The sequence below is a fragment of the Homo sapiens genome, chromosome 1 (assembly GCF_000001405.40).
Source record: "Homo sapiens chromosome 1, GRCh38.p14 Primary Assembly".
Lineage (NCBI taxonomy): Eukaryota > Metazoa > Chordata > Mammalia > Primates > Hominidae > Homo > Homo sapiens.
In genome coordinates, this window is record NC_000001.11 from 68892377 (window position 1) to 68905863 (window position 13487).

Below are 13487 nucleotides of genomic sequence, written 5' to 3' on the forward strand. Positions count from 1 at the left end.
TCCTCAGCCTCCCAAAGTGCTAGGATTACAGGCGTGAGCCACCGCACCCGGCCAGGGATGATCCTGTTAATGCGCCATTTAACACACCACGATTGCTCTGAAAAAGCAGACAGGTCTTGGAGGGTGACAGTGGACTCTCATAAACTTGAACAAATACTTGTTCCGATTGCAGCTGTTGTGCCAGATGACGTATCTTTGCTAGAGCAGGTTAATGCTGCCTCAGGACATTAAATGTGTCCACTGATCTTGCGAATACATTCTTTTCCATTTCTATCAGGAGGAAGGAACAGAAGCAATTTTCATTCACCTGGGATGGAGAACATTTTACATTTATGATTTTGCCCCAGGGCTATGCTAACTTACTGGGCTTTTCATAACATAATCCAAAGGGATCTGGATTGTCTGAACATTCCACAGAATATCAATGTAGTTCAGTGAATCAGAGGCATCATGTTTATGGGATCAAATAAGAAAGAAGTGGAAAGTACCTTAGAGGTACTTCAGAGAGTGGAAGAGAAATCTTAGGAAGCGTCCTGCCAAATTAATGACATTTTTAGAGGTTCAGGATTCGAGGGTATGCCGCAAAATCCCCTCACATTAAAGAACAAATTATTTTATTTTGAAATTTTCACAACTAAGAGGGAATCACAACACTGGGTAGACATTTCTGGGTTCTAGAAGCACATATTCCACACTTGAGAATATGGGTCTATTAATGAGCCCAGAGCAATAAAGCCCTCAGCACTTGATACAGGCTACAGTGTAGGCAGCCCTGACATTGGGCGGTATGTCTGGATAGTTCATATAGCATTATAGATATCTATGATGAGAAAATTGCTATGTGGAGTTTATAGCAAGCTGTGGTTTAAAAAACTACAATACAGACCTTGAGTGTTCTAAATAAAAAAGTCATGTCATCTGCTGCAATGGATTACAAACCATTTGATAGACAACTCATAACACGCTACTGCACCCTGATAAAGACAGAGCTTGCCATCATGAGCCATTAAGCACCATTTGAACAGAACAGCTCATAAGAAGCTGGATTCTGTCAGGCCCACAAGTAAGTCATATATCTGGGCAGATCCAGCCAGAATAAGGTCACTGTGAGGAGCACCACACAAGACCTCAGGAGTCATATTGGAATGGAGGACTGAGACTGACCAGAACTGGCCAGCCTACTGATTAAGAATGAACACTTTTGCCTACCAACAAAAACAGTCCAGGACCAGACTGATTCACAGCCGAATTCTACCAGAGGTACAAAGAGGAGCTGGTACCACTCCTTCTGAAACTATTCCAATCAATAGAAAAGGAGGCAATCCTCCCTAACTCATTTTATGAGGCCAGCATCATCCTGATACCAAAGCCTGGTAGAGACACACCAATATCCCTGATGAACATCAATGCAAAAATCCTCAATAAAATACTGGCAAACCGAATCCAGCAGCACATCAAAAAGCTTATCCACCATGATCAAGTGGGCTTCATCCCTGGGATGCAAGGCTGGTTCAACATATGCAAATCAATAAACGTAATCCATCACGTAAACAGAACCAATGACAAAAACCACATGATTATCTCAATAGATGCAGAAAAGGCCTTCGACAAAATTCAACAGCCCTTCGTGATAAAAATTCTCAATAAATTAGGTATTGATGGGACGTATCTCAAAATAATAAGAGCTATTTATGACAAACCCACAGCCAATATCATACTGAATGGGCAAAAACTGGAAGCATTCCCTTTGAAAACTGGCACAAGACAGGGATACCCTCTCTTACCACTCCTATTCAACATAGTGTTGGAAGTTCTGGCCAGGGCAATCAGGCTGGAGAAGGAAATAAAGGGTATTTGATTAGGAAAAGAGGAAGTCAAATTGTCCCTCTTTGCAGATGACATGATTGTATATTTAGAAAACCCCATCGTCTCAGCCCAAAATCTCCTTAAGCTGATAAGCAACTTCAGCAAAGTCTCAGGATACAAAATCAATGTGCAAAAATTACAAACATTCCTATACACCAATAACAGACAAACAGAGAGCCAAATCATGAGTGAACTCCCATTCACAATTGCTTCAAAGAAAAAAAAATACCTAAGAATCCAACTTACAAGGGATGTGAAGGACCTCTTCAAGGCGAATTACAAACCACTGCTTAATGAAATAAAAGAGGATACAAACAAATGGAAGAATATTCCATGCTCATGGATAGGAAGAATCAATATCATGAAAATGGCCATACTGCCCAAGGTAATTTATAGATTCAATGCCATCCCCATCAAGCTACTAATGACTTTCTTCACAGAACTGGAAAAAACTACATTAAAGTTCCCGTGGAACCAAAAAAGATCCCGAATTGCCAAGACAATCCTAAGCCAAAAGAAGAAAGCTGGAGGCATCACACTACCCAATTTCAATCTATACTACAAGGCTATAGTAACCAAAACAGCATGGTACTGGTACCAAAACAGAGATATAGACCAATGGAACAGAACAGAGCCCTCAGAAATAACACTACACATCTACAACCATCTGATCTTTGACAAACCTGACAAAAACAAGAAATAGGGAAAGGATTCCCTATTTAATAAATGGTGCTGGGAAAACTGGCTAGCCATATGTAGAAAGCTGAAACTGGATCCCTTCCTTACACCTTATATAAAAATTAATTCAAGATGGATTAAAGACTTAAATGTTAGACCTAAAACCATAAAAACCCTAGAAGAAAACCTAGGCAATACCATTCAGGACATAGGCATGGGCAATAACTTCATGTCTAAAACACCAAAAGCAATGGCAACAGAAGCCAAAGTTGACAAATGGGATCTAATTAAACTAAAGAGCTTCTGCACAGCAAAAGAAACTACCATCAGAGTGAACAGGCAAGCTACAGAATGGGAGAAAATTTTTGCAATCTACCCTTCTGTCAAAGGGCTAGTATCCAGAATCTACAAAGAACTTAAATTTCAAAAAAAAAAAAAAAATCAAACAACCCCATCAACAAGTGGGTGAAGGATATGAACAGACACTTCTCAAAAGAAGACATTTATGCAACCGAAAAACACATGAAAAAATGCTCATCATCACTGGCCATCAGAGAAATGCAAATCAAAACCACAATGAGGTACCATCTCACACCAGTTAGAATGGCCATCATTAAAAAGTCAGGAAACAACAGGTGCTGGAGAGGATGTGGAGAAATAGGAACACTTTTACACTGTTGGTGGGACTGTAAACTAGTTCAACCATTGTGGAAGACAGTGTGGCAATTCCTCAAGTAGCTAGAACTGGAAATACCATTTGACCCAGCCATCCCGTTACTGGGTATATACCCAAGGGATTATAAATCATGCTGCTATAAAGACACATGCACAAGTATGTTTATTGTGGCACTATACACAATAGCAAAGACTTGGAACCAACCCAAATGTCCATCAATGATAGACTGGATTAAGAAAGTGTGGCATATATACATCATGGAATACTATGCAGCCATAAAAAATGATGAGTTCATGTCCTTTGTAGGGACGTGGATGAAGCTGGAAACCATCATTCTGAACAAACTATCGCAAGGACAGAAAACCAAACACGGCATGTTCTCATTCATAGGTGGGAAATGAACAATGAAAACACTTGCACACAGGGTGGGGAACATTACACACCAGGGCCTGTCATGGGGTGGGGGGAGGGGGCAGGGATAGCATTGGAGATATACCTAATGTAAATGATGAGTTAATGGGTACAGCACACCCACATGGCACATGTATACATATGTAACAAACCTGTACGTTGTGCACATGTACCCTAGAACTTAAAGTATAATAAAAAAATTCTAATTCTGTCAAAAATAAAAAATTTTTTTTAAAAAAGAATGAACACTTTTTAGTCATAACCCAAGACCCTGTCATCTATCATTAAAGATAGAATTATATCATTAAATAAGCCAGTACATGGTCCTGAAAATTCTTATGAATTAACTGTCAAACTTCTACTATTCAAATGAGTGGAGTCATTTTTGTAAGGCTTGATATATTAATTGTTTATATCATGAGAATGACTCTCAGTTAAATCTCAAGAGCTTTCATAAACCCTAGGGTGACACTGGCATTTAATAAGATGTTGGATATACTCCCTACCTTTAACATTCTTTATATACCTTCTTGTTTGATTCCTCCACCACAGTTATCATCTAACATATTATATATTATTTATCTTATTTATCGTCTCTTTCTCCCACCAGAATGTAAATTCAACAGGAGGAGTGATTTCTGTCTGTTTTGGTAACTGAAACTAAGACTGTACTTAGCATACTACAGTTGCTCAATAAATATTTTCTGAATGAATGAAAGATATATAGGAGTCTAGTGCAGTATCCTACTTCTGTCTGGTTAATAGGGTTATATTAGTACACTGAACTTGGAGGGAAATAAAATGAATACTGCAGTTATAGCAATAACTGTGAGTTACAGCAAAAACTGGGAGAAGGGGAGAAGCTGCTTTATGAAGGTGTTAACTATTTTCTGACTCTTTTATTTATTTATTTTTTCTTAGAGACAGGGACTCATTCTGTTGCCAAAGTTGGAGGGCATTGGCATGATCATAACTCACTGCAGCCTTCAACTCCTGGGCTCAAGTGATCCTCCCACCTCCGTCTGCCTAGTAGCTGGGACAATAGGCATGCCACCATGCCCAGATTTTAAAAAATTTTTTGTAGAGACAGGGTCTTTCCATGTTTCCCAGGCTGGTCTCAAACTCCTGGGCTTATGTAATCCTTCTGCCTTGGCCTCCCAAAGTGCTGGGATTACAGGTGTGAGCCACTGTGCCCAGCTGGCTTTCTGGCTATTTGTTTATATCCTTTCTTGAGGGGACAGCAGTGGTCCTGGTTAACCACAGACCCAGCTCTCAGCTACTTTATTTAATAACAGGAAAAACCAAAAGTAGGAACATTTTGACCTTTCAGGTGATTTTGAAGTTCTCCCGTTTGTGAAGGAACACAGGTGCAGAAGCTGTTCCTATTAATTTGAGGTTGCAACCTTTGAAAGCCATGGATGTGAAGCCTGGACTAGCTTTACTCTGGATATTGGGAAATGCCCTTTCACTTTTGCCTTTTCTTCTCTGGTGTCTCTCTCTTCTTTGAACTGGTATACCTTTGCCCTCAGAGTGAGAGATAAGTATTTGGTAGTAGAGAGATAGCTAGTGAGAGATAGGCTCAGGGGTGAACGAAGGGGAGGTTATAGTTTGGTCAGCATATGAATATGCCAAAAATGGTGTGTGGATTCAGCTCAACTTGTTAACAGATGCAAGGCAGAATGACAAAAAGGAAATTATTTATTATGTCCAACAGCATGCCTAAAGGCAAAATAATTTATGGTGATGAAGAGACTATACATGTCTCAAACAATAGGAAATTAATAATGATGCTTCCGTACTCTTGGAATCAGACGTGAATTCAGTGGTTCCTGTGAATTCCAACAGCTACTTCTTATCCACATTCAAATTAAATTTATGTCAGCATTAAGCTAAGAGAAACTGTATCTGTCAATTTATTCTTACAAAGGGTCACATATCTACTATCTATCTTAGGAAATTCCTTGCCATGAGAAAGCAGTGGAAACATATTTAGGCGAGAATATTTTATTTAAGATTTTAAGAACTTGTTGAGGCTTGTTTTATTGATCCAGTCTGGAAAATGTTAGACCATGGCTCCGGAATGGCTCTTTTTAATTATATATATATGTGTATATATATAATATATAATATATACATGTTATATATATTATATTATATATACATATATATAATATAATATATACATAATATATATTATATAATTATCTACATAGTATATATATTATATAATATATACATATTATATAATGCATATTATATATTATATACATATTATATAATGCATATTATATTATATATATATTATATATACACATATATGATACAAATATAATACATATATATTATATATATAATATATAAACACATATATATATACACACACACATATATATACCACACACACACATTGTTGGTGTCATGTCATGCAGTGTGAAAAGACAGCTAGAATTTGAATAGAATAGCATGCAGTTCAGAACATCCCAGACTTCCTTCAAGGTAAAATTCACAGGATCCAAAAGGCAGTATTTTTGTGCTAGATCAACTCCCTCAAATGTCATGCTACAAATTCTTGAATTTTGACAAGTTTGAGAAAAACCTTATTTTTTTCAAATACATATTCCTATACATATACACACACATATGATATATACACATAAATGCATATATGTGTATATGTATATATATACACATGCATATATATATACACATACATATATATGTATTTTTTAAAATTAAATTTAATTCTATTAAATTCTATTAAATTAAATTCTATTAAATTAAATTAAATTATATTTTACGTTCTTGGATACATGTACAGGATGTGCAGGTTTGTTACTTACGTAGGTAAACGTGTGCTATGGTGATTTGCTGCACCTATCAACCTATCACCTAGGTATTAAACCCCACGTGCATTAGCCATTTATCCTGATGCTCTCCCTCCCTACTGACTCCCTGACAGTGTGTGTTGTTCTCTTCCCTGTGTCCATGTGTTCTGATTGTTCAGCTCCTACTTATAAGTGAGTGCATGCAGTGTTTGGTTTTCTGTTTTTGTGTTAGTTTGCTGAGGATAATGGCTTCCAGCTCCATCCATGACCCTGCAAAGCACATTATCTTATTACTTTTTATGGCTGCGTAGTATTTCCTGGTGTATATGCCCCACATTTTCTTTATCCAGTCTATCATTTATGGGCATTCGGGTTGATAACATGTCTTTGCTATTGTGAATAGTGCTTTAATGAACATATGCGTGCATGTATCTTTATAATAGAATAATTTATATTCCTTTGGGTATATACCCAGTAATGGGATTGCTGGGTCAAATGGTATTTCTGGTTCTAAGCCTTTGGGGAATCACCACACTGTCTTCCACAATCGTTGAACCAATTTACATTCCCAAGGTGAGAATTTTTAGATAATATTGCATTCCATTTCCAAATAAAAAATAGCAAAATAAATCTAAATTGATCCAAGTTCTTGATAACCTCTTCAATATGGTTACATAAACTGCCATGTTATTCCATTAGAATATAATCACTTTAAATTCATTTTCTACTGAGGATTCATTACGAATGATGAAATTATTCCAAAGTACTATCACTATAGTGAATCAAAGTGAATATCTGAAACTTCAGTGTCTAAAGTAAGTTTTTTTTTCAAATTTGTCAAAATTCAAGAATTTGTAGCATGACACTTGAGGGAGATGATCTAGTACAAAAATACTGACTTTTGGGTCCTGTGAATTTTACCTTGAAGGAAGTGTGGGATGTTCTGAACTGCATGCTATTCTATTCAAATTCTAGCTGTCTTTTCACACTGCGTGACATGACACCAACAGTATCTGCCACTGATTGACCACTAGTAAACATCAGGAACTTAATGAGGTGACTAATATATAATAGTCACTATTATAATGAGGTGACTATATATATGTATATTTATATGTGTATGTATATGTATATATACATGAATAAATTAAAACTATCTATGTATTTATGATATATACTTTAATTTATCCCTCATAAATTCCACTATGAATGCAACTATGAACAGTTCATGTTATTATTCCCATTTTATGGATGAGGAAACTGAAGATCAAATAATTTACATAATTTTATCCCAAGATTACGTGACAAGCAAGTGTGATCCGTCATATTATTCCAAAGCCAGTTTGTCCAACAATAAAGCCTGTCTTCACCAATATTATGCTTGGCTGCTTGTTTCTACAGTAGTGTCATTTTCTGATATCCATACCATTGTTTAATGTTTACCTGGAAGTACCTGGAAAGGTGCAAGCAAGGTATCCCATCATTTTTCTGTCCCCTTTTTAACACAGTCTCTTCATCCTATGAGCTAGTTTTTTAAAAAGCAGAAACAAGGAAAAAATTAAGATATACTACATACAAAAAAAAGAGTTACTTTCACTTGAAGGACACTAGAGCATTTTTAAAAAGTCAAGGTGTACTTGTGTCTTCTGAGTATAAAGACTTGAGTTTCAATCACAGGTTTGCCACTTATTGGCTGTGAGTCCCTGTTTGATATTCTGGTCACTAGCCTACTTGCTCTTCGATCTTTTCCTTGTACTTTCTCTGCTCTATTCTGTATTGCAGGGCACTGACTTCATCAAACTGCATTTCACAAGCTCTTTTGCCAGTTGTATTCTAGCTAGGATCAGCCAATGGAGGGCACTGGAAGAGAAATGAAAGGTGAAACAAGAAGAAAGCTGGTTTCTTTCTCTCCCACTCTTTCTGCTACAGGGAGTCCTCGGGCAGCAGGGTCCATCTTCTTTGTAGTTTATAGTTCTTGCACTGTAGTGATTGTAGCTTACATCAGGCCACTCTAGCACTTGGAGTCTGGTAATACCACCTACTCCTTGGACCTTCAGTCCCAGGGCTGATGATGGCTTTTTGCTATTCCTGAGTTCTGAGTTGCTTCACTACCTCTTATTTGCTTTTTCAGCTCTGCCAACTCCTTTGAGAATAGTTCTCCATATTAAATATTTTCTACTGAGCTACTCACTGTGGATTCAATTTTGCTGACTGAAAGTGACATAGCATGGCCAGATATTGAACTTTACTGAGACTCAGTTTCCTTATTTACAAAATAAGAATGATAGTAACTACTTGCAAGTTACTTGAATCCTTAGCTAGAATAACTAAGAAAAAAAGACTTATTAGTAAAATCAAAAATGAAAAAGAAGATATTTCAACAGATGCCTCAGATATAAAAAAGATCATAAGAGACTATTATAAATAATTATATGCCATAAATTATATAATCATGAAGAAATGGATAAATTCCTAGAAACATACAATTTATCAAGACTGCATCAAGAAGAAATAGGAGCCCTGAACAGACTAATAACTTATTTGTTATTAAGCTTTAAGCTGCAAACAAAACCTCTCAACAAAGAAAAACCCAGAACTTGATAGTTTTAACAGCTGAATCGTGTAAAACATTTAAAGAATTAATAACAATTCTTCTTAAACTCTTCTATAAAACAGTAAAAGAGAAAACACTTCCCAACTCATTTTATGAGGCCAACATCACTCTGGTAACAAAGCCAAAGACACCACAAGAGAACCATATATCTAATGAACATAGTTGCACAATTTCTCAACAAAATACTACTAGCAAATTAAATTCAACAGCACATGAAAAAAATTATACACCATGACCAATTGTGATTTATCCCTGGGATTCAAGTTTGTTTTAACACACAGAAATTAATCAATATGATACACCACATTAACAAAATGAAAAATAACCATATGACCATCTCAAAAGACATAGAAAAAGTATTAACAAAGCTCAATATTTACTCCTGATAAAAACTCTCAACAAAAAGGGTGTATAAAGAACATACCCCAACACAATAAGGGCCATTTATGGAAAACTGCAGCTAACATAATCAATGGGTAAATACTGAAAGCTTTTCTTTTAATTAGTAACAAGGCAAGGATGCCCTCTCCTACCACTTCTATTTGACATTGTACTGGAAGTCCTAGCCAGAACAATTAGACAAGAAAAATAAATAAAAGTCATCCAAAAAAGAAAGAAAAAAGTAAAATTATCTGTTTATAGATGATAAGACCTTATATATAGAAAACTCTAAAGACACCATTAAAAACTATTAGAACTAATAAATAAATTGAGTAAAGTTGCAAGAAACAAAATCAACATGCAGAAATCAATAGCATTTTTTACACTACTATCAAACTATTCAAAAAAGGAAATTAAAACAAACCTCACTTACAACAATATCAAAAAGAAAAACATACTTAGGAATAAATTTAACCAAACACACAAAAGATATGTTCACGAAAAACTAGAAAACATTAATGAAAATAATTGAAGAAGACACCAATTAATGGAAAGATATCTTTTGTTCATGGATTGGAAGAAATAATATTGTTAAAATACCCTTAACACCCAAAGAAATCTATAGAACAGATTCAGTGAAATCCATATCAAAAATCCAGTGGCATTTTTCACAGAAATGGGGGAAATAATTTTTGAATCCTAACTCAAAGTCTGGGTGAGTGAGACCGATCACTTCTGGTATTAGGGGCAGAAGAACATGAAAAGGTTTCACCCCAGGTGAGTCCGTTGGCAAGACTCTTCTCAGCACCTGGAGAATGTCAAAGCTAAGTCAACAGAGCATGCTTGGTGTGGCCAGCACAGGAAGTTTGAGAAAAGGACATTAGAGAAAAAAGAAATAGCATATGGAGGAATTTTTCTGGAAATCTGCCTGTATGTTGAGCTAAAGAGAATCCTGACTTGAATTCTCCAGATGACCCATTCCAACCGGAATTTTATATATTTTATATAAAATAGGAAGATGGGGAAAGAATGACAATGACTATATAACTCATGTAGTATTCCAGTAAAAGTCACGTAGCGAGAATGAACTGCACCCTTGTTCCAACTTTATTACTGGCTTACTTGGTGATACTCTATTTATTTCTCCATCCGCAAATACTTCCTGACCCGCAGAGCTAGACTTTGGTAAGGCGAAATTTGATAAATATTTACTAACCTTTATTGTGTGTCTGGTAGTGGTATACATCTAGGGATGCAACAAAGTGATTTCATTCCAGCGAGAGTCAGACAATTAAAAAAAAAAAACATACTTGAGTAGCGTGGATAGTATGTTAGATGGTGGTAAATTACAGAAAGAATGAAGTAGGGAGTGTGGAGAAAGGGGCATATTTTAAATAAAATGATGAGGGGAGACCTCAATAAAGAATATTAAATATGGGTAAAGACTAAGCAAATGAAGAAACAAGCAATTGTCTTTCTAGAGATAGATCATTTAAACAGAGGAGAGATGAAACAAATGTTCTGACACAGGAATGCTCAATGGGTTTATGAACTAACAAGAAAGCCAGCATGTGGATGAAAGAAAGATGACAGAAGATTCAAAGAAGTAACATCATGGGGTAGGGTGTAATAGATCTGTAGGATCTTGGAGGCTACTTTGGCTTTAGTCAGAATGAACAGCAAAGCCATTCAAGTCTTTTGAGCAGAGAAGTTATATTATCTAATTTATGTTTTAACATGATGCCTGCAGTTTCTGGTTTTTGGCAGGATGAAGCAAGGCAAGAGTGGGAGAGGGGAGACTGGTTAAGAAAGCCCACCTTCCACCTGCTTCTTTCTGTGTCCTTAGCCTCTCCTTGCGGATCGTATACTTCCTTCCCAACCCCTACTCCCACTGCTCTTTTACTGCAAGTCTTCTTATAATGCTCTTTCTAATTTTCTCAGGAAAAGAGACAATAAACTCATCCACTTTGAATTATAAGTGACATATAAGCTTTGTTGAATAAGCAGAGTGTGTAGCTTAAATAAAAAGAATGGAGCTCTAAAAAAAAAAAAGAATGGAGCTCTAATTGTAGAATTTCAGATATAAGTGGACAATATTTTATTTGGGTCAGAGGGTCTTCTGAAAATACCTAAATGACTTTATACAGATACCCAGATACTCGAAGTAATGAGGCTAGCTTCAGTTCAAATCTTTTGTAATAAAAGGCAAGTTGTACACACAGAAATGCAAACAGAAGACCAGGCTTCCTTACAAATCTCACAGGATAATAGAATATTACATTTACACTATCAACCTTAATCCAGTTACTTACTATGTCTTTTACGGGTTCCATCTCCTTAATCTGTCTCCAATCAATCTCTTCCTATTGTTAGGACATTCAACTTCGATTCTGAGAACTGATTTAGTATCCTAATTTGTTTCCAGTGCTCCAGGCTTGATCCCCAACCAAACCAATTTTCACACCAGAATGATCTTCCTAAAATTCAATAAATAAATAAATAAATAAAAATTAAAAGTTGCAATGGCTCTCCCTTGCCTTAGGATAGTCCAGTCTCTTTTTCTGATGCATGAGTTCCATTAGGAACCTAACTATCCCACCGCCATATTAATACCTCCCACACACATTTTCTGCTCCAGCCACACTCCATGCTGTCTCTTTCCTCTGGGGTTTGGTGCTCTCTATTTTGTTTTCCTGGTAAATATTCTTATTCTCTTTATCTCCCTACTTTCCGCCAACTTCTCTAACAGCTTATTTCTATTCATTCTTCAGGGTTTGGTATAGACATCTACTCCTACGAAAAGCCTTCCCTGATGCCTATGACTCAGATTCCTCTTCCAACGGTTCCCATAGCAACCTTCTCTGGCATTCTCACACTTACATAGCAAAGGGATTTTCTGTTAGTTACTGGTTTGTCCTCCCCATTAGATTTTGAGTGCTTAAGGGCAGGAATCTTGCTTTATTTTAGTGTCTACAGTGCCTAAGAGGATGTCTAATATATAATAAAACTCAATAGATGATTGGACATATAAATGAAATGATTGGCTATATAAATGAAAGCTGTGTATGGAACTTCTTATGAAAGTTCCAAATAAGAAAGAAGAGAAAATGATACTATTATTCTCCAAACAAACCAGTTGCTTAGGAGAAATATAACTATCTCTGATGCTGAGACCAAAGGGAAGTTTCTCCCTTCGATCTTCATAGAAAATGTACTAACAGTATATAACAGGCTTAAATACTATGTAAAAAGTAGTAAGCAATTACTCCAGTAGTTACTATAAATTGGTGCCACTAATCTTTAATTTACTGAAGTTAGTGAGGCTAGACATGATGATGACTTTAGTCTTTTTCCGGTTTTAAGTAGTGTTTAAATAGCGATGATTATTGCAGTGTAATTCCCTGCAAAAAGTTCACATATTCATTTGTAGGTGATTTTCTAAAACTGAAACATATGCTAAAAACCTTTTTAAACAGAACATTTGTCTAATTTAATACTACTTTAGGTAAATAATTCTTCAGTGTAAAATAGAGAATTATTATATGTGATAGTCTAAAGAAATATGATTATGAAAATGCAGTATAAAAAGCCCAATCACAGCATAATGTTAAATTGCAATTTTTTTCAAGGCCATTAAACAATGAAATTATGTTTTTCTTTCAATTAAGCTACAAATTCTTTAGTTCTAAAAATAAAAATGAAAATGAATGTGGATCTCTTTGTTCATTTTTAAAAACTTTATTGGAAAATAGCAATCATTGGCCAATTGATTATTATTATTATTTCCTTTTGGGTTAAGAGTAGGTTACTTAAGTCACTTTGGGTTCCCATTAGGTTCTAGGGATTAATTACAGTTTTTCAAACCCTGAAATTTCTTGTCCACATTGTGACCCCAGCCTGCCTGCTTTGAAGATCTATTTTCATGTTCTTGAGGCTCTAGAGGGAAACTTTCTGAACTCATGACAGCTCCCTCCTGAGATCGCTGTCTTAGCAATAACAGGCAAAAAACTAAGTACTTCATCTGTATTCTCTCAAT

General features: G+C 35.9%; 1 long non-coding RNA gene across 2 annotated transcripts; it reads right to left on the bottom strand.

Annotated features, from left to right (window-relative positions):
- On the bottom strand, nt 1–12282 carry LOC105378783 (uncharacterized). 2 transcript variants are annotated; one of them, XR_947478.2, is made up of 4 exons: nt 12076–12282; nt 11764–11928; nt 7900–7981; nt 1–270 (listed from the first exon to the last, which is right to left on the bottom strand). It is a non-coding gene; the product is annotated as an uncharacterized LOC105378783 (long non-coding RNA). The 2 variants fall into 2 exon arrangements; XR_947479.3 differs by having other exon boundaries at nt 12065–12282.
- Between the last annotated feature and the right edge of the window lie 1205 nt (nt 12283–13487).